At 37.3% G+C, this 23,008-nt stretch overlaps 1 protein-coding gene across 13 annotated transcripts in view; it reads right to left on the bottom strand.

The window, feature by feature from the left end:
- The window catches only part of PAN3 (poly(A) specific ribonuclease subunit PAN3), a 157,143-nt gene that overhangs the window by 106,808 nt on the left and 27,327 nt on the right, over window positions 1–23,008 (bottom strand). For 11 of the 13 annotated variants that reach the window (XR_941549.3, XM_011535034.4, NM_175854.8 and 8 more), the window contains exons 2-4: window positions 14,135–14,256; window positions 11,969–12,035; window positions 10,593–10,663 (exon numbers count right to left, since the gene is read on the bottom strand). Coding sequence is in view for 10 of the 13 variants with exons in the window: in NM_175854.8 (NP_787050.6) it covers window positions 10,593–10,663; window positions 11,969–12,035; window positions 14,135–14,256 (260 nt within the window). In the remaining 3 variants the exon portion in view is untranslated. Of the gene's footprint in view, window positions 1–10,592; window positions 10,664–11,968; window positions 12,036–14,134; window positions 14,257–23,008 lie in introns of those variants that run through there. The other 2 variants (XM_047430253.1, XM_047430251.1) reach the window with 2 other exon arrangements.

Here is a 23,008-nt window from a genome sequence, read left to right as displayed (position 1 = left end):
CTGAGCTCAAACGATCCTCCCACCTCAGTCTCCCACATAGCTGGCACTATGCGTGCACACCACCATGCTCCATTAACTGTTTAAAATTTTTTGTGGAGACCAGGTCTTGCTATATTGCCTAGGCTGGTCTCAAACACCTGGCCTCAAGTGATTAACCACTAATCATTAATGGTATAATTTGATATTTAATTCTTATAATTGCAGATATGCTAAAGTATCAGGATATTTAATGAACAGAAAGAAGCTCATTAGGAGTCAGAGGAGGTTGCAAAAAAAATGCAGGCTTATTTTGAAATAAATATATAATAAATCCTAGGCCAGAGATTTCTCAATTGATGTACCTAAGACCCTTAGGAGTGTCAGGAGATAGGCTGCTGAGTTGATGCTGTAAAAGAAAATAAATTCATATACTCGTTTAAGCAGTGTCTGAAAAGAGATATTTCACATTTGTATACTACTATTTTTCAAGTTTGTAAAGATGTTCTGATTAATAAAACATAGATCATTTTAAAGTGTCATTTAAATCATTCATTGGGCCAGGTGAGGTGGCTCATGCCTGTAATCTCAGCACTTTGGGAGGCTGACACAGGAGGATCACTTGAGACCAGGAGTTCAAGACCAGCCTGGGCAACAGAGTGAGACCCAGTCTCCACAAGAATTTAAAAAATTAGCTGGGCATGGTGGCATGTGCCTGTAGTCCCAGCTAAGTTGGGTAGATGAGACAGGAGGATCACTTGAAGTCGGAGTTTGAACCAGCCTGGGAAACAGGGCAAGACACTGCCCCTCAAAAAACAAAAATACGTAAAAAATGAGAAAAATAAATTATATCAAACACAGCAGAACATAATTTACATGTATAAACACATATACACGTATTTGTAGCTTCTGCTATGAGTCAGGTCATTGAGGGGGACAAACATTATCTACATAGTAATTTAAGGAAGTCTACAAAGCAGTCTTTACTTATGTTCTTAAAATCTCAGTGTTACAAAGGGATTTTATGCTACCAAAAATAAAATCAGTTGGAAGACCTTGCTATGCAAGGGCACATTCAATTTCTAAAGAACTGGAACACCAACTGCAACTTCTTATATCCTTGTGCTTTAGACTGGAACCACAATACGTACCAGATATAAAGAAATAAAATAGCATGCCAAAGTTAATAAAATATTTTGAGTGAAAAAAATTGTTGTATTTTTTTGAGACAGGTTCTTGCTCTGTTTCCCAGGCTGGAGTGAAGTGGTGCAAACACGGCTCGCTGCAACCTCAACCTCCTGGGCTTAGGTGATCCTCCCACCTCAGTCTCCCAAGTAGCTGGGACTACAGGCGTGCACCACCAAGTCAAGCTCATTTTTGTATTTTTTGTAGAGACAGTGTTTCGCCATGTTGCCCAGGCTGGTCTCAAACTCCTGGACTCGAGTTATCCACCCACCTCAGCCTCCCAAAGTGCTGGAATTAAAGGTGTGAGTCATCTCACGAGGGCTTTTTCTTTTTAAAGACGGGTCTTACCATGTTGCCCAGGCTAGTCTCAAGCAATCCTCTTGCCTCATCTTCCCAAAGTGGTGATAGTACAGGCATGAGCCACCATGCCAGGCCAGTTTTATTTTTTTAAACAAGAAAGTTATTTCCATGATAATCTATCAATTGTAATGATCATTAAAGTTTTCTATCAATTTCAGTCCCTTACCAAATGCATTCATTATATTAACAGTCTTGTTCTGTTGTCCAGGCTGGAACACAGTGGCCCGATCACAGCTCATTGCAGCTTCAAACCCCTGAACTCAAACCTCCCACCTCAGTCTCCCATGTAGCTGTCACTATGTAGCTGCCAGAATGTCTACTGGCTTCTTAGCAAAAGGTTTCCATTTTATTTAACTTGTATGTGTACACTTTTTCAGAAATGAGTTTTATTATAATTGAATTTAAACAAAGATGGTAAATAATGAAAAGTCGTCTTGTACATAATTAGATAAACAAACTTTTAAATTGCAGATCATAAATAGGAGACTATAACAATAACTACCATTTGACAAGTACAAGGCATTATAAACACTATATCCATTAATGTATTTAATTCACATAATTCTGGGACATAGCGCCTATTTTATACCAACTTTACAGATGATAAAAGTAAGTCTGAGAGAAGGTTAAAATAACTTGCCTATTATCTCAAAATTAACATAGGGTCAGGTTCCAACAATTGTACTCTTAACTATAACATCTCATATCCAACTCAAAGAAATCAATTCCACATTCTGTAATACTCCTTAACACATTACAATCTTAATGTCATTCTAGCTAAACCTAAGATAACAAAATACATATACCCAAATGAAGAAATATTTTTGTATTTAATTAGCATGGATGGAATCAATGAGAACTGATAAAGACTTCATTCAAATAACTAGAATTTAAAAGTTCTCCTTCCCCGTTTTCAAAATACAAGGACAACAAATCTTGGGAATAAAACAGAGTTGGGGAAAACCACACGGTTTTGGTTACATTTAATTTGGAGCTTAGGCTAGCATGTTTGTGGATGAGAATTTTAAGTTCACCTTTACTAATTCATTCCCCATACCTACCTCCTAGGAAAATAGGGATGAGCTATCAATAATGCTAGGCCCCTAAATATCAGCTACTACACTTCGCAAATAGAATGACCAGAGTGTAAAGAAGCCAACCAGCTAACCTTAGAATGATCTACTAGTTTGTAGGTTCAAGAGATAAATGCACCATGGTTTTACTTAAACTACCATTACTGTGTATAAGAACTCAAAATCTTCAAAGCTATAAAATTAGATGATGAGTACAGCCAACAGTATTACAAACTGTATATAAAAGGCATAAAAAAATTTCAGTTCACGTTTAAATATGATAAAGCATCAAACACCATACTACCACACACACCTTTAAAAAAAAAGGCTTCCAAAACAAACTCATGAGAGCTCTTTTTAAAAATCAATCAACAGAACAAAATTCTCCTACAATCATGAATTTGGAGGAAGTTTTCTGGATTAAACAAAAACAAATGGTCGCTGCACACAAAGTGCCAATTAAAATAAAGTACAGGAAGTACATGGTTGAACCTCACACTTGTTAAAACAAAATTTAATCTGTTCTTTCCAAAGTACATCTTTATCTCAACCCAATCCTGGAAACTCAACCACGAATACTCTTTACTTAGCAGGAAAGAAAAGTCAACTCTCAAAGTCTTTCTCTATAAGAACTACCATATTTTTAGCAAGTTTCAATCTAATGTTACTTGTATATTTTAAGAAAAGAATAGACTGAGACTGGAGATAACCAACAGGAAGAACATTCAAGCCTACCAGTTAAAAAGCAGAGAAAAGAGAGAACACATAGCCATTTACTAAGGGAAACTGATTACTAGAGATCATTCACAATAAAAATCACAGTGTATTCAAATTAATTATATAAAAACAAGGACGGCCCTTTATATTCGAATTACTAACTCATTAGAGCAGAGATTTCCATGTTATTTTAACAAAAATTGGCTTAATATTTTGCTATTTTAAACATAGTATGAGAGAAACAGAGTAAGCATGACATTTCAAAACTGACAGCATAAATTACTTGTGAAATTCAAGACCAATAACAAAATGGAGGGAAACTGTAACATGTGACAGAAGAGATTTACATCTCTAATGTACAAAGACCTCTTACAATGAATTTAAAAAATAGCCCAATAGGAAATGAGAAAAGGACATAAAATAACACTAATGACCAATAAACATAAAAGAGAAGTCTACAACACCATCAAATTTAAATGAAGTTTTTTGCCTGTGAAATTACAAAAATATTAAAGATTTTTATAGCCCAGTGTTTTCAAGACTGTAGAAAAACCAGCCCCTATTAGTTGGAATATAATTTGTGCTACATTTCTGAAAAGTTGTCTGTCAATTATAAAAAATTCAATTGTCTATTCTTGCCCCAGAAACCATTTTGACAGAAATTTACATTGAAAAAAATCACTTAAGTGGAAAAAGAAGCAGGCATAAGGTTAAACGATGTTTTATCTCCTCCTCTCCATATTACCAGTGGCCTATTTTTCACCCTAGAGTAAACTCAGTCAACTTACCCTTCTCATATTGCCCTATGTAATTTATATTATTCTATGCAAATTACTTGATCTCTCAAACTTCTATTTCCCAAAACAGAAAAAATAATCTCTCCCAAAGAACTGTTGATGTAACTAAATGATATGATAAAATATAAAACATTTAATTTATAAAATAATTATTTAGGTTTACCATATTATCTGGAACAAATACGGAAAATCATCATTCATATAAATAAAATCAAGTTTCTATCTGTCTGCAATTATGTTGCAAGAAACCCCCAATGGATTTTCACATGATCTGGAGGACATGTTTGAGAAGCTAACAGGAAGAAGTTTCTGTGAGGAAGAAGGCAAAAAATTAATACTGGGGGAGGAGGAGGCCTGAACATCTCAAAGAAAAGGTAGACATCCTCAGAGCAGCTACAGAACCACGTTTCCAGAGGACAATTTTAGTACAGCCTGATACAGAGTGAGTAGCCAGGGATACTTAATTAACAACAGTTAACAATTTCCAAGCAAAGTTCAAAATTTGACCAACACCACTTACTACCTACTACCAATAATAGTCAACACTTCTGTGCCAGGCAACATGTCCCATTTAGTCCTGAAAACAACCTTACTTACTAGGTACCACATTCTCATTTTGCAAATGAAGAAACAAAAAGGTTTACTAAGTTGAAGACACAAAGATAATCAGTGAAGCAACACTAATTCAATCCTGACTGCCTCGCATCTAACTCTAAACCCTAAAGCCTTAACCACTATCCAACACTGCCGTGTTATTATCATTCCTGCTGTTTGTTCTTTGAAAAATTAAAATTCTCCAAGAGGCTCTGAGTAAGCTATAAACAGGAACCACACATGGGTGTCTTCCCCATACCCCGAACTTGGACTCCAATAACTGTGTCAGTTTCCAAAGGAAAACATATCTCTAAGCCTAAAAGCTCTCCTAAACTTGGCTTAGGCTGAGATGGCACACATTCCCTCCTCCATCTTGACAAGCGGAGGTGAATGAATGTTTAGTGATTTCAGAGCATAATAGTTCTGAGGGCATTAATTTGGAATTCTCGCCACAATTTTCCAGAAACATTAGTGAACAATACTCAATGGGTAAAAGATAATGATGTGGCTTACTGGAAATCTAAATACCAAGTAAAACATTATTTCTTTGAGAACATACATAAAGAACCTAAAAACAGTCATTTTACAGATTAAATTTAGATTACAATCTCCTTTAAAATTTTAGTTATTTTTCAATGTCTTCTCCATTTTCTCCTTTATTTTTTCTGACATCAATACTTGATTCAATATGCAAAAAAGGCCTAGCTTAACCATCAGAAGGATTAAGATTTACATTCCAAATTGTCTATGCTATACTCAGATTAATTTCTCCAAATTTACTTTATCTTTTTCCATAGAAGAACTCTACCGTAAATATGCTCTAGTCTTTGTTATTCCATATTTGCTTGCCTAGAATAGAAATAATGTAAAAATCATTTTTCAAAGGAAGACTTTAGAATAAAAATGCTATAAGAAAACTTTTAAATGTCAAGTTAATCAGAAAACATAAAATATTTATCATCAGTAAGTTTTGTAACAGAGAGAGATGGGTGCTCTTAAGATAAACAACAGTGCAAAAGGGAGACCCAAGCTAGGTTCAAACAAAGAAGAAAGCGGAGAAAAGTACTGCTGGTGAATTTTTCTCTCAAGCAGAATAATCCAGAACTGTACCTCTAGCAACCACATCTCCTCAAAAATAAGCTATCAGCAGACGAACCAGCCAGCTCCCTTTGGTCCCACTTCCCTAGTCCTAACAAAAAGCTTTAAAAGCAAGAACAGAAGAGATAAACATGATACTTCAAAAGTCTTTGCCTCCTAACCCCAAAGAATTTAACTTGTTATTAAAACTTAAAAAAATTTACAGAAGTGAAAATCTGTTATCTCCGTATTAAAAATATAATACAAATATCCACATAAAACCGCATATTGACTGAAACAACATACTAAAGTAAACCAAAGAAATATAAACGATGGGTATAAACCAAAGAAATGGAAGAAGTAGGGGGAAGCTGAATAAAAATGTGACTAGGTGAATAAAAAAAGAAGATGAAGAAGGGCAATAGCCCAGAAAGATATAAAAGGAGAAAGCCAAGCTGACACAAATTTGAAAGATTTCTCATTTTGCCTGGGATTTGCCTCAATCATACATGGTTGCCCTACATAAACACTTCTATCTTAGCAAGAATCATCAGCAAGATATCATAGCACTGAATCACTTCATTTATGAATATCTGTATTCCAATATCTAACTCTGTTGTAAAGATATTTTGTTCCCAAATAATTTCTCATTGGAAATTTTAATGCTTGTCTAGATCACATTTGTGATTCAGTGACTCTCAAAACTACTTCTTTTCATAACAGTGGTCAAATTTAATTTTATCTATCTTGCTATTAAGGTTTACTCATGTAATAATCTCTTGTATATTAACTCCTATTTTTAACAAACCTCAAATAATGGTTACTTTTTCTCTCTATAAAATTAGGCATTCCTAATGTGACAAATAAAAGAAAATCAGTGCTTCTCAAACATCAAAAAAGATCACTTTTTAAAAAATCTCCTATAAATCATGGTCCTATAATTTTGTAAAATAAAGATAATTAGAAAAATGATTCCATATTCGAATGTCACAGTATTATCAAATTGTTATAGAAGTCTCTAGACATTTATTTTCAGTGTTTATCTCCTAACAGACAATTCACAGACTAGCACTGGTCCCATGACACATTATGAGTAGTACTGCCCTAAGGCATACATTCTCACCACACAACTCTTCAGGAAGTTTCTCACATAGTTAACAACAATTATACAGCCTAGATATATGGCTGTGACCCTTCTGTACTTTGTTTTGTTTTGGGCCTTTTTTTTTTTTTTTTTTTTTTTTGAGACAGGGTTTTGCTCTGTCACACAGTGCATTAGAGTGATCACGGCTCACTGCAGCCTCCACCTCCTGGGCTCAAGTCATCCTCCCACCTCTCATCCTCCCGAGTAGCTGTGACTACAGGCGTTCACCACCACTCCTGGCTAATGTTTTTGGCTTTTAGTAGAGACCAGGTCTCACTACATTGTCCAGGCTAGTCTTGAACTCCTGACCTCAAGTGATTCTCGAGCCTCAGCCTCCCAAAGTGCTGGGATTACAGGCATGAGCCATTGTAACAGACTGTACTATTTTTCACATCCCACATTTCCCTTGAAGTTCCTAAAGATACTAAGGGGCCTCAGCCGTATTTCTTAGTTTATCTATGATTCTCAGAATGAAGAAGAATTAGAGTTTACTAAAGCTCCTACCTCTATCACCTGTAAGCAAGCATACCTTTTGCCTAGGTATCTTTGCCTCTATACATTCCTCATCCACAAAAAACCCAATTCAAAACATCTTTTCTCCATAAATTCTTCAGGATCTAGAGAATTCTTTGCTACCTAGCAATCATCAAATATTTAAATTGGCACTAATTAATATGCTGCTGAGTAAATGTTCCCTTGTAGGTTCATGTATTGCATCTCCAATTAGATTTAAGGGAAAAAAAAAAACTCAGTCCTTCATTTTCAATTTGTCCACATAGCATATAGTAAAACTGCCTACTATAAAAATACCTGACTATTCTGACCCCAGTAAATCACATAATCCCACAGGCAAAAGTTAGCATATCTGGCTCAGAGACTGGCCCAACTGAGATTTTCAGAAAATAATTTACCTCACTAGCTATGAAATAGTGGTAAGCATAGTTTAATTATTTGTTCTCCTATATCACTGTAAAACAAAATACCACTAAGTAATCATGCTAGCCTGCTGAGATAAATTTGGAATTACAATATTCATATAATTTTGAGTTACTTCCACTAAAATTACTTCGTTAAACAGACATTTTTTCATATGCCTTTAATTCACTATGTGTAATATGTCATACTCCTATGCCAAGAGTATTTCTAATGTAAAGAGATTTTGAGATTTGAAACCTTCTCAACTCAACCATTAACAATTTTAAAATATATGCAACCTGTACCCACAAAGATTCTAACTATATTGCTCACTACTGGAAAAACTCTGTGTCTGTAGATTACACATCATTTTAAATATAAATGGCAAGAAAATATAGTCCTTCAAGCTATATGAATATATGAACCACAAATTTCTAGGTAGAAACTGACATATGGATGCTTTCAATTTAGACAGACATTAAGTTTTAGAGATGAAGGACACCACAGCAACTATGGTAATGATGAGGTCATGCTCTTCATTTCACAGATGGGATGATTACAGCCTAGAAAGTTGGCCATAGGTCACAAAATGGGAGATCCAGGGCCTCAAATATCACAGTAGAGTGCTCATTTTTCTATATTAGTCTGCTTCCATTGGATATATTCTAATATCTCTCCAAATATTTAGGTCACATTTCTACTAACATTATTTTCAAATTTCTAGTAACATTTCTAGTAACATTTTATTGTATTAAAATAAATTATAAAAAGAATAGGTACTATATATTCTCAATTTCTAATAATTTTTATTATTTTCTCAAAAGTAAATGTCAGGAGCTCTAAATCATATATTTCCACTTTAAGACACATCCCACTAACCTCTTATATTAGAAATACTTTTAAACATTAATTTGTCATTCTAGTTTTACTTTCTACTCGTATGTCTGAAATGCTAGTTATTAACTGATTTTTTTTTTTTTTTGTCTGAGACAGGGTCTCACTCTGTTGTCCAGACTGGAGTGCAGTGGCATGATCTTGGCTCACTGCAGCCTCAACCGCCCAGGCTCAAACGACTCTCCCACCTCAGCTGCGACTGCAGGTGTGTACCACCACACCTGACTAATTTTTTTTATTTTTATAAGAGATGGGGTCTTGGTATGTTATACATACTGGTCTCAAACTCCTGGGCTCATGCAATTCTCCCGCCTTGGCCTCCCAAAGTGTTGGCATTATAGGCCTGAGCCCCTTGCCCAGCCAAGTTAACTGATTATTTTATAAATGAGAAAAAGTGATTAGGGAATACCTAAGAAAATTTAAAGACTTTCTGTTTTCCCATAAAAAGCTCCAGATAACTTGATTTCCAGGTTGTATTCGCTTTTCAGCATTTTACTGCTTGCTTCCACATTGTTAGGCTTTGTCTATTGTCCTGGGTCTGTTTCTGTCCAACTCTATTATTACACTGCTAACATACGGATTTAGAAACCAAGTATTCCAGTTTATAAGAGAAGTATGTAAAGCAGGGTAAATTTATCCATGATAAGAGCCTATAAGGAAATCCATTAAACCCACAGATTTTAGTCTATCAATTCTAGTTGCTAAAAAGCATTTTGTAATTACCTTCTTATTCTCATCCATGTCTCAAAATGGAAATAACATTAGGTACATGAGGTTTTAACATAATTTATATCAGTCTTCATAACTTTTTTTTCTCTTAAGAAAATCTAGTCTTTCTGAATTTTTTAAACCACTTTATTGAGGTCTGATTGACATGTAAAACGCTATACATATTTAATGTATACAACTCAACGAGTTTGGGGATAACTATACACCGTGAAGCCAACACCACCACAGTCTTCTTGAATTTCATTTTATACTATCTGCTGATCAGATCCTTCTTAAAAGTATCTTAAGTTCATATCAGTTATTCTAAAATTAATATTAATGAGATATGTTGAAATATTTTATCTTCATTTCTGAGCTTTAGTTAATTTTACATTTATTACTCTCATTAAATTTTGGGTCTTTCTTCCATTACTTAGGAAACAATGTTATAACTTTATAATAACTTCCACCAAGATTTAGAACCTCTTTAACATCTTTAGCTGTTGCTGATCCTAACCAAAAAAGACTATCTTCTCTAGATGATTATTAGTATTAACAAGATTCTCATTAAGACTCAAAGGCATCAAATTATTCAACTTGTCACAACATCAGTCCTTATAAAATACTTCAAAAATCCATACATGGTCTATCAATCTAAATTCCAAATAAAATTAAATTTCTAATGTGAAGAGATTTTCAACTTTTTAAATTGTTGGGCCCATTATGAAATGTTGAAAATTTTAAGTTTGCCTTGTAATCAGGAGTAAATTAGGGAAGAATTTTTGAAATTTAGATAAAGCCATCAAAAAATAAAGTTTAAACATGATTAACATGCTTACAATGGGTCACATTAACAGCAACTTAACATTAAATTAGATGTTATCTTAAGAACAGAATACATTGAGATAAATAAACTGAACAAAAATAAGCAGGATTTCATCCCTTCACACAAAATCTCTATTCCATGCAGAGATCAAATAAATTTCCACATATAAAAAGATAAAGAAAAAGGATAAACAAAAGGCAGGAAAAACACTAAAGCCCATAAAAAGCTCTCCCTCCACTTACAAAAACATTGACACTACATAGGTAACAATGCCAACATCACTTCTAAATTCCATTTAGTTTAATTCAAGTTTCAATTTCACCTACCTTTCGTCTCTGAGAGATGTTGAGGGCACCAAAGTCATTAAACAAGGATGAAGCAGGTGATGTTAGAGGATCTGAAAGGTAAGTTACGTAAGTTTCCACACATAAAACTTGGGTAACCCGCAAATCTAATAACTGTTTAATTTGACAATGCCTATAAAAATCAAATGACACAATAATTAAACTTAGTACCTAACACACAGTTATGTTCAAATATTTTCTGAGCAAATAAAACACAAACTGGTGAACCAATTTGCTCAAATATTCAAAAGCTATATGGATCAGGATAGATCTATTTGACTAGAACCAAAAGAAAAATCAAATAAGAGAAAAAAACCTCTTAACCATACTATTGTGAGTGTGTTTATGAAGGCAGTAAGTTGACCTAAAGTAAATAAAGGTTTATAATCTTGAGACCATATCTTGGGAAGGATAAAAAGGAGGGTGAGGGGTGGGGGCAGTGTCAACCATAGACTCTGAGAGATCCTGTCTTGGATTTCAACACATCAGCAAGGCTTTAAAACCATTTACTCTGCAAACTATTCCATATTTTAAAGTCTATCACCAGATGTTTGATATTATTACTAAAAAGATAAAGTAAAATATTAAGTTAAGACAGAAATAATAAAGTTTTTCAAAATTTATTTCAAACATGAAATCCAAAGATTTTGTAGGTTCAAAATTCCACTACTCTGTAGAAAGAAGTTACAAATAAAATTATATATCTTAATTATTTCTCACTTTACAAATGAGAAGAGTCTCTGAAAAGGCATGTGTGAGATATACTTAAATATTTATCTTCATTTCTGAGCTTTAATTTTTTATTTATTAATCTCATTACATGTTCTGCTAAATCCTAAAAAATATATTAAATGCCCTTACGTAAAGGAACCTTAAATCTCTTCACAATGTAGTACATATAGACTGCTGCTTCATTTCTCTGCCTTCTTCTTCCTGGTTTTTCAGACTTACCTTCATTAAAATTAACATGAATTTAATATTAAATAACTAATAGTGCAAAGAGCAAGATGTTAATAAAATAGCATGTTGAAATTTTTGTATATAACTTATACACTTTTCTTTTTTTTTTTAATAATAGAGACATGGTCTTGTTATATTGCCCAAGTTGGTTTCAAACTCCTGGGCTCAATCATTCCTCCCACCTGAGCCTCCCAAAGTGCTGGGATTACAGGCATGAGCCACCACACCTGGCCTGGAATCTAAATCTCAATAGTTAGATCTGAGTGGGAAGATAATAATTTTTATTTTCTTCTTTATGCCCGTTTACAATTTTCAAAATTTCTACAATGGTTGTATATTACTTTTAGAGTAAGAAATATATACACAGACACACATAAGCAAAAGGGATCAGGTCTTACCATGGGCTGAATATGGCTTGGCACTGTCATTTAGAAGGCTTGGGGAGCTGCTACTATTAGTCATTCTCTGAAAAACAAAATATTTATTTATAACATCACTGAGGAATACAGAAATAAAAGTATCCAACCAATTAAGACTGGCTCTCTTTGCTTCTTCCCCTCCAATCTACTGTTCACATTACTGACAATCTAATCTTCCTGTAAGTGTTACTGCTTGGATTACAACTATGTAAAAACCACCACATGAAATGAAAATTTTACTCACTACCCAGGTATTCAAAGCCAAAGCTACAGACCTATTTTGAATTGTGCTTCCATAACTTATTAGCCTGGGCAAAACACATAACTAAGTTTCCTTGTCTGTAAAACATAAATTCCAATATCCACTGAAGAGGGTACCCGTTGACTATGAATAAAATGAGTAAATGCTCTAATACCCTTTCTCCATTTGTACTACCATTCATACACCTTATAGAGCTTATAAAATTAGGTATTTTCTGTTCTCTAAACACGTTCTATGCTTTCTAGACTCACTCCATAGCCTGTATGGTCTCTCCATCCTGTAAGGCCCTTCATCCCATGCCCACAAATCCTTGTCTCATATGTAACTTCTAACTCAATGCCTTAAAAATTATAAGTTAAGAATTTCTAGCTCTGGCTTTAATTCTAGAGTCCTGAATCTGTTTACTCAACTTCTTATTTAATGTCTGCATAATTTTAAAAGAGAAGAAAAAAGCTAAGCTCCTGAGGTAATTTTAATACAAAAATATATATTAAAAAGTACCTGAAATTGTGGCTCACAGGCAGTTAAAATAAGGTATAACTATGCATTAAACTAGTTATATTGTTCATAAAACATAACCATTTCTATATATGGCTGTGCATGTTTCTTTATAAACAACCCTTAGAGTGCATATCTACACGAAATAAGTTAAAATAATTCAAAAAAGCATTGGTTTCATACAAACCCTTAAAATCAGTCCAACTTGAAGTATAAACACTAGGCCAGGAGTGGTGGCTCATGCCTGTAATCCCAACGTGTAATACCTCCTTTGGGAGGCCACGGCAGGAGGATCACTTGAGACCAGGAGTTTGAGACTAGCCTGGGCAACACAGACCTCATCTCTGCTAAAATTATTTTTATTAGCCAGGCATGGTGGCACACACCTGTAGTCCTACCTACTCAGGAGGCTGAGGCAAGAGAGGAGTATTGCTTGTGCCTAGAAGGTTGAAGCTGCAGTGGGCCATGATTGCGCCACTGTACTTCAGCCTGGGTGACACAGCAAGACCCTGTCTCCAGAGAGAGAGAGGGAGAGAAACGTAAAGATGAATTTCTCTTGTGTTTAAATATCCTATTGTAATAATGGAGAAAACCATCCAGTAGTACATCACAGAAACTAGAAAGGACAATACATTGCCTTTACTATTATGGCAGTTTTCCAATTAAAAACACTAGAATACTTTCCAATTTTATTCCAATTCTACAAAATTGTGCAATACAAATCAACAAAAACTCATCTAAACACAAATCTCCTAAGCATTGCATGCAGTCATATGATAAAGGGGAAAAAAAGAGCCAAAAAGAACAAAGTGGGGTTAAAAAAAATTCAAAGACATTTTTAATGTAAAATGCTCCAAGTACTATGACTTTAAATTCAACATTTTAAGCATTAAACAAAATAAAACTAGCACTATGCTTCTATATGCAAAGAATATTCCTGAGAGGATACACAGGAAACTTGTAACCAGTAATGATAGCTAACTCTAGGAAGGTTAACTGGAAAAGTGATGAGTAGTGACGAGAGGGAGGCCCTTTTGTAACTTAACTTTTATAATACATGTATAACCTGCTTAAAACATAATTTTAAAATTGCAATCACTACCAAGTTTAACTAACATACATACAAAATACACAAGTGAAATTAGTCTCTAACTACCCTCTACATACTCCCGTCACTCTTGCCCCTAACCCTACCAAACCCCCACTTACAAAAGCTCTCATTAACTCCAACCCCATGGGAGATAGTTTACCTACATCTCACCCATCTCACTGCCTCCTAAAATCTCACCTCCCACTCAACAAATGTAGGAATAAATGAAGACTCTATATGTCCTCTGGCCCTAGAATAAACTTCATAGTGCAATATGAATTTATACTAAGGATACCTGCATCAGGGGATATTTTGTTTCTACAGGGCTTCCAAATCCATTGACTCCAATAAAGCTGGTGCTAAAATAGGAATCTGTGAGACTTGTATCAGTTAAAGCACCTCCATCCATTCCTGGAACTGAAAGAGAAGGAAAATTCAAGTATTTAAAATTATTTCAGAGGATGAAACATTGATTTCACTTCTGTGTTCCTAAATAAGTTGTAAAGTCTCAAATCTGTCACACTTATTTTTATTTACCAGTTCATAACAGGTAAGATCAAATAAAATTGGGTTGGCTCCAGAAATATGTTAAACAGTGCTCAAGCTGACTAATTATTTCCCACAGAAATAATTTATTTTCTGAGTCACCAAATAGCCCCCAGGCACAATATGATTAAGTTTCTACCACTTGCATTTCCAGTTTCTTCATCAAGTTTTCTTTCTTCAACTCAGTAAAAGGACAACAATTTCTCCTGTGAATCACTGGATGGTAAACAGAAGCAATTTTCTCAAGACTGTTTCTCAAAACACATCTTTTGAAACAAACCAGCAGACTCACACTAACTCAAAATTCAGGGGGAAAAAAATCTGCAGAGGTAGCAATAGGATGGCATTCAGGAATACTGATAGTTCTCTTTAGAGTTTAGGGTAGGATGATACTGAAGGACTGTAGAACTATTAGGGCAATCAACGGGACACTGTGTCTTAGATGCTACTTCCTAGTAAGTGCTTAGCATACAGCTATTTTCTAATCTGCTAGTTTAACAATAAGATGGGCCGCAAGTAGGCTTGCTCTTCTCCAGGCAGTCATTGAGAAACCCCCTTCAACCCCAGTAAGAAGCAAACTACAAAAATGTGGATAGAAGGGATGTTGGGTCTCTTTGGAAAACAATCTGAGGTAATTTTTATTTTCTTCTTAGTTTTTAAAATTTATTTCCCAAAACATCCATAACGAAAATGTACTGCATTTATAATTACAAAAAGTTTATTTTAATGGTTCATATCTTTTGGTGATTACAACTTCAGGATATGGCTGAATAGTATCATCAGAAACACCTAAATATTTACATATAAAAAGTTCATCTTTAACAAGAAATTTGAAACAATGTGAAATGGGAAAAAAAAGAACTATTTATTATCCGAAGAATGCAAACCCTTTTAATATCAGGCCCAGAGAGGTATTAAAATGAGACAGCAGTCACAGCCTACTCCCCACTTTGAGCTATGTGCTCATCTCTTGAAACTGCCTGCTATTGCCGTAAGTAGCTATAAATTAACCTAATAATGCCACATTGGACACTGTAACCATCACCCTACAGCTTAACAATGTATAGCTGAATCAATGTTATTTCTGTAAGCCAATGAGAATTCCTGACACACTTTCACTCCCTGTCCCCCCATTTTACCTTTAAAAATCCACTACTGCTAATCAGAGGATATATTGAGGGCAACTTGAATCTATGCTCCTGGGTTGCAACCCTCAAGTCTGGCCCAAATAAACTCTCTTCTTTTGTTTTTGTAGAGACGATTTTGTTATGATCCTCAGGCTGGTCTCGAACTCCTGCCCTCAAGTGATCCTCTCATCTCAGCCTCTATAAGTGTTGGGATTACAGGGCCACTATGCCTGGCTGACTCTGTTTATATTAATTTTGCCTCAGCTTCTTCCTTGTAGGTTAACGTGTCTAACGACAGAAGAATGATTAAGTAAATCCATAGAAAAACTACTATGAAATAATTCAAAGTCATGGTAACTAATGTCCAGGATATGTTTAAAATATTTCAGCAAAACAGAACTAAAATTGGAGGACAGACAAAATAAGACTGGGAAAAATCAATCATTGTTGAAGCTGGGTGACAGGGATGACACTATCCTCTCTACTTTTATCAAAGTTTAAAATTTTCCATAATAAACTGTTATAGAAAATGATAATAAAGACTAAATAATTTTTTTTTTGAGACAGAGTCTCGCTCTGTCACCCAGGCTGGAATGCAGTGGCGTGATCTCGGCTCACTGCAAGCTTCGCCCCCTGGGTTCACACCATTCTCTTGCCTCAGCCTCCCGAATAGCTTGGAATACAGGCGCCCACCACTACGCCCGGCTAATTTTTTGTATATTTAGTAGAGTCAGGGTTTCACCATTGTTAGCCAGGATGGTCTCAATCTCCTGACCTCGTGATCCACCCGCCTCGGCCTCCCAAAGTGTTGGGATTACAGGCGTGAGCCACCGTGCCCAGCCAAGACTAAATAATTGTATGTGTCTGTGACACTGCGAAAGAAATACATATTTCTTTTGTCTTCATCTATAGTTCCTGGCACAGAGCTCCTAAAAAAACTTGTTTCCTAAGTGATAGGCACTAGGAGCATCTTTTGTTCAAATATTTGGTGCTGGGAGCATCTTTGGTTCAAATATTTGGTCTCTGACCTCGGTTCCTAACACAGACCTCCTAAATCCCTCGGAATTTCCAGGGTGATAGGAGTAGCGTTTGTTCTAATGAGGTGACTTTTGTTAGGTACCTAGATGGGAGCCGTTCACCAGAAAGACCAAGCCCTGATTACCAGTTTGGAACTTTCAGCCCTACCCAACCATCTTCCAGTGAGGAGAGAGGGGCTACAGGCTGAGTTAATAATTTCCCTTGCCTGCGAGATGAAGCGTCCATAAAAATCCCTTAACTGTGGGGTTCAAGGAGTTTGTGGGCCGGTGAACACATTTATGAGCCAGGAGGGTGGCACACCCCAACTCCACAGAGAAAAAAGATCCTTGTTCTACCTTTTCATCTGACTGTTCATCTGTATCCTTTGTAATAAACCAGTCAAGCAAGTGTTTCCCTGAGTTCCATGAGCCATCATGGCAAATTATCAAACCTGAGGAGGGGTCGTGGGAACTCCCAATTTGTAGCCAAGTCGGATAGAAGTGTGGATAATCTGAGGACCCGCTACATGTCACTGGTATCTGAAGTGGAGAGCAGTCTTGCGTGACTGAGCTCTTAACCTCTGGAGTCCGCACTAACTCCAAGTAGTGTCATAATTGAATTGTAGGACACCCATGTGGTAACCAGAGAATTGGAGAATTGGCTGGTGTGGGAAAAAAACTCCACACTTCTGGTGTCAAAAGTGTTGTGTGAGAGTGTAGTAGAAAACAGGAGCAAGTTTTGTTCCTTTCTAGTGTAATAACCATTTACAATGTGAAGTGAAAGGGGAACACATTTTTATTTGAGGGTAATGATGTGTGCTTACACATACACAGAAAAAAATGACTAAATATGTCAAAATGTTAACAATTTTGGGTCATGTGGTTGGTTAAAAGGAAGATGTTTGGCCAGGCATGGTGGCTCACACCTGTAATCCCAGCACTTTGGGAGGCCAAGGCGGGCGGATCGCCTGAGGTAGGGAGTTTGAGACCAGCCTGACCAACATGGAAAAACCTCATCTCTGCTAAAAATACAAAATTAGCCAGGCATGGTGGCGCATGCCTGTAGTCCCAGCTACTCGGGAGGCTGAGGCAGGAGAATCACTTGAACCTGGGAGGCAGAGGTTGTGGTGAGCCAAGATCGCACCATTACACTCCAGCCTGGGCAACAAGAGCAAAACTCCATTTCAAAAAAAAATGAAAAAATAAATAAAGACATTCGTCATTTATCTTATGACTTTCTTTACAATGTAGTTATTTTCACAGTAATGATGATGATGATGATGATGACAGAGCAATCCATAAGGGGAGAGGTTCCTCCATTCCTTAAGGCATCTACTCTTCACATTTTCCTAATAAAATAGAATGGTTACTCCAAAATAGAGTACAATTCTAGAGTAAAATTGTTTTCTAATATAGCATTTTGATTTTAAATGCTTTTCACTTCAAAGGCTTTTATTATGTTTATTAATTTCAAATCCAATTTTCTCTTTTCACATTTTGTACAAGCCAATAGAACAATTATTGAACATGCCAAGAATTCAAATATCTATGGTCAATGTCTTGTCTTAATAGAATTTTTAAGTTCCTCGAAAGCAAGGTCCACTGCACATAAGCAAAATGAAATACTGGTAAAATTAATGAATATTAAACTATTGTCAGAGGACAATAAAACCATCTTATAAAGTTCCCACCTTTTAATAACACCTTATCATTAAGAAATAGAATTTGTCCCAATAAACACACAAATTTCTGGTAGTTATTTTCACTATATTAACACTGGTATATATATTCCTTTCAGATACACAACTTTGATAGAAGACGACTTATGCTCCCTAGCAGAGGAAACACCTGACTGGACTTAACCAAAACAAGGGTAGGTGGCAAGGGAGTGCTGATATAGCCAGTAATCAATGGTTAAAATTATTATTATTATTATTGTATTATTATTATTTTGAGATGGAGTTTTGCTCTGTCGCCCAGGCTAGAGTGCAGTGGTGTGATCTCAGCTCACTGCAAACTCTGCCTCCCAGGTTCATGTGACTCTCCAGCCTCAGCCTCCCAAGTAGCTGGGATTACAGCTGCCCGTCACCACGCCCAGCTAATTTTTGTATTTTTAGTAAAGATGGGGTTTCACCATCTTGGCCAGGCTGGTCTCAAACTCCTGACCTCATGATCCACCCGCCTCAGCCTCCCAAAGTGCTGGGATTACAGGCGTGAGCCACTGTGCCCGGCCTAAAATTATTATTTTTTAAAGTAAACATTCCACACACGCATATACTTACGTTTGACTTTTCTTGTTTTGGAAGGGAGAAAAGAGGAATAGATACTTGGAGTGCAGTTAGGAAAAAATCACTAACCAATGATACGTTATTCCATCCTATACAGATCATAAATATATTAATTTTTTTTAATTACCAAGAACAGGCACATATCCAACCTACTTCACCAGGTGTTCAAAGAGAAAAATACAGCCGGGCGCGGTGGCTCATGCCTGTAATCCCAACACTTTGGGAGGCCGAGGTGGGCAGATTACCTGAGCTCAGTTCATCTGAGACCAGCCTGGCCAACATGGTGAAACCCTGTCTCTACTAAAAATACAAGCATTAGCCAGGCGTGGTGGTGGGCACCTGTAAGACCAGCTACTTGGGAGGCTGAGGCAAGAGAATCACTTGAACCCGGGAGGCAGAGGTTGCAGTGAGCCAAGATTGCGCCACTGCACTTCAGCCTGGGCAACAAGAGCGAGACTCCATCTCAAAAAAAAAAAAAAAAAAAAAAAAGCAAACAAAAAAAAAATGAGAAAATGCATGTAGAATACTTTTAAATTTAAATTACTTAAGTGTAAGATATGTGAGTGACCTTAATTACCAAGAATATATCATCAAGAATTTTTCAGTCCTTCAATCCTTTATTTTTGCAAGCTACTTTAAGTAAATCCTACACTGTTTCCATGGACTAATAGTTTGCAATTCACTTTTTTTTTTTTTGAGACGGAGTCTCGCTCTGTCGCCCAGGCTGGAGTAGTGGCGTGATCTCGGCTCACTGCAAGTTCAACCTCCCGGGTTCATGCCATTCTCCTGCCTCAGCCTCCAGAGTAGCTGAGACTACAGGTGCCTGCCACCACACCCAAGTAATTTTTTGTATTTTTAATAGAGACGGGGTTTCACCATGTTAGCCAGGATGGTCTCCATCTCCTGACCTCATGATCTGCCCGCCTCAGCCTCCCAAAGTGGTGGGATTACAGGCGTGAGCCACCACATCCAGCCACAATACACTTCTTTTTTTTAAGAGAGTCTCGCTCTGTTGCCCAGGCTGGAATGCAGTGGCACGATCTCAGCTCACTGCAACCTCCGCCTCCCGGGTTCAAGCAATTCTCCTGCCTCAGCCTCCCAAGTAACTGGGATTACAGGCATGTGCCACCATGCCTGGCTAATTTTTGTATTTTTAGTATAGACAAAGTTTCACCATGTTGGCCAGGCTGGTCTCAAACTCCTGGCCTCAAGTGATCCACTCGCCTCAGCCTTCCAAACTGCTGGGATTATAGGCATGAGCCACTGTGCCCAGGCTGCAATTCCCTTTTCCATAAAAGCTCTATTGCCATCTGTATTAAAGGTTTATTATTACTTCCCTAATCTGGAACCAAAAACGCTCCAGAATCTGAAACTTTTTGAGTGCCAATGATGCTCAAAGGAAATGCTCACTGGAAGATTTTCAATTTTTGATTTTCAGGTTAGGGATGCTCAGCGAGTAGGTATAATGCAAATAATTCCCAAATCCAAAAATATTTGAAATCCAAAACACTTCTTGCCCCAGGTATTTCAAATAAGGTATACTCAACCTGTAGAACTATTACATCTCTGTGTGCTATGGTCTCAATGTGTCTCCCAAAATTGATATATTGAAACTTAATCCACAATGTGATATTACTGAAGTGGGACCTTTAGAAGGTGATTAAGTCACAAGGACAGAGTCCTCATGAATGGCATTAGTGCCTGTATGTAGAAAAGAGGTGTAAGGTGAGGCAAACTTTCAAGGGATAAACTAGGATATTTGACAGGATAAATCACTAAGCAAAGTGTTGAGGATGCTATATTGCTTCTCTTAATTGCTTATAGTAATATGTGAGAAATGAATTAAAGATTTGTTTGTTTGTTTTGTTTTTTGAAGCAGGGTCTCAGTCACCCAGGCTGGAGTGCGGTGGCGCAATCTAAGCTCACTGCAACCTCGGACTCCCGGGTTCAAGGAATCCTCTCACCTCAGGCCCCCAAATAGGTGGGACTACAGGAATGAGCCACCACACCCAGCTAATTTTTTTTTTTTTTTTTTTTTGTAGAGACAGGGTTTCACCATATTGCCCAGCCTGGTCTTGAACTCTGGAGCCCGAGTGATCCACCTGCTTCAGCCTCCCAAAGTGCTAGGATTACAGGCATGAGCCACCTCACCTGGCCTAAAGATCAAATTTACAATCAAAAGGGAAGCAGGACTTAAAAATTTGGGAAATTCTCAGCCTGGCTAGGTTGTAAAGATTAAAAATGGGTATTGGGCCGGGCGCAATGGCTCACACCTATAATCCCAACACTTTAGGAGGCCGACGTGGGCAGATCACCTGAGGTCAGGAGTTTGAGACCAACCCGGCCAACATGGTTGAAACCCCATCTCTACTAAAAATACAAACATCAGCCAGGCAGAGGCTGAGGCAGGAGAATCACTTGAACCCAGGAGGTGGAGGTTGCAGCTAGCTGAGATTGTGCCACTGCACTCTAGCCTGGGCAACAGAGACTCTGTCTCAAAATAAAAAACGGGGGTGTGGTATTGGAAGAGAGTACCACAAGCATGATCAAGCGACCTTTTGATAAGGAGATTGACCAGCCTGGGCAACATAGCGAGGCCTCATCTCTAAAAAAAAAAAAAAAAAAAAAATTAAGATAAAAAATAAAATAAAAAGGTAAAGAGATTCATATAGATAAAAGGAAGCAACTGATATTCATCAAGACAATGGAAGAATGAACCCAAAGACATTTCAGATTGCTTCAAGGCTGCTACTCCCTACCACAGGCCCACAATGGCAGAGCCTTGAGCACAAAACTGTTTTCTAGGGAGAGGCCCAGTTGCCCAGGGTTGCCTCACATCTCTGCTCCCTTTATTCCCAAGCAAGACTCCCTGACTACCCCCACTGTGGCTCAAGTGCAGCCAGGTGCAGCTCAGGCCTCCACTCTGGAGGGCAAAAGTGGGCACAAGGGGTAAACCTTGGTGATGCCTACATGGTGCTAACTCTTCAGGAGTGCAGTACACTCAGAGGCATGGCTATCCCCACCTAGATTTCAAAGGATTCCTCAGAAAGCCTCAGGGGCTAGACAGAGAACTGCCAAAGGGGCAGGCTGCAGCAGAGAGCTTTTACCAGGGTTATGTCTAGTGAAGTTGTGAAGGCAAGACTGCCCCCAGAGACCTCAGAACTGTGCAGCCACCAGCATCCAACACCAGCCTAGGAGAGCCAGAGGCACCAGACTCCAACCTGTGAGAGTTGCATTAAGGGTTGCCCCAGATAAAGCCATAAGGGCGTGGTTCCCTGAAGCCTTCAGGACCCACCCCCAGTCCCAGTGTGTCCAGAAGGCAAGAAAAGGAGTTAAACAAGATTATTCTCAGGCATCCAGATTTAATGTTGTTTGCCTTGCTGGGTTTTGGGCTTTCTTGGGATCTGCTATCCCTTTCTTCTTTCCAATTTCTCCCTTTCTGAATGGAAGTATCTATCCTGTGTCTGTCCTACCATCGTATTTTAGAAAAGCGTAACTTGTCTGATTTCACAGGCTCATAGCTGGAGAGCAATTTGCCTTAGGATGAATACCTTGAGTCTCATCCATACCTAATTTAGATGAGACTCTGGACTTTGGACTTTTGAATTGGTGCTGGAAGACTTTTGAGACTACTGGGATAGAATTAATGTTTTTTGCATGTGACAAAGACAAGGATTTAAGGGATCGGGGCAGAATGCAATGGTCTGAATGTCCCCCCGACCCCCTGCAAAATTCATGTGTTGAAACTTATCAATGTGATAGTATTGAGAATTGGGGCCTTTAGATGGTGATTAAGTCATGAGGGTGGACCATGCCATGATGCTAATGGAATTAGCACCCTTATGAAGCACAAGGAAACTGTTAGACCCTTCCACCATGTGAGCAGGTGGCAACAAGGCACCATCTTGAAGCATAGACAGCAGCCCTCATCAGACACCAAACCAACCCACCTTGGTTGGACTTGATCTTGGACTTCCCAGCCTCCAGAACTCTGAGAAATAAATTTCTGTTCTATAAAAATTACCCAGTCTCCAATATTTTGTTAAGAGCTGCAGAAATGAACTAAGACACTATAGAATAATAAGAAATTGAACAATCATTATAGATATGAATCTACATCTGAATAACAACTGTGGCAAGGTTGATATTCTTTTTATTTTATGGTTAAGCAAACTGATTCAGAGATTATAGC

The sequence above is a fragment of the Homo sapiens genome, chromosome 13 (genome assembly GCF_000001405.40).
Source record: "Homo sapiens chromosome 13, GRCh38.p14 Primary Assembly".
Lineage (NCBI taxonomy): Eukaryota > Metazoa > Chordata > Mammalia > Primates > Hominidae > Homo > Homo sapiens.
The sequence above is the reverse complement of the archived record's forward strand: the minus strand, read 5'-3'. Positions and strand labels throughout refer to the sequence as shown.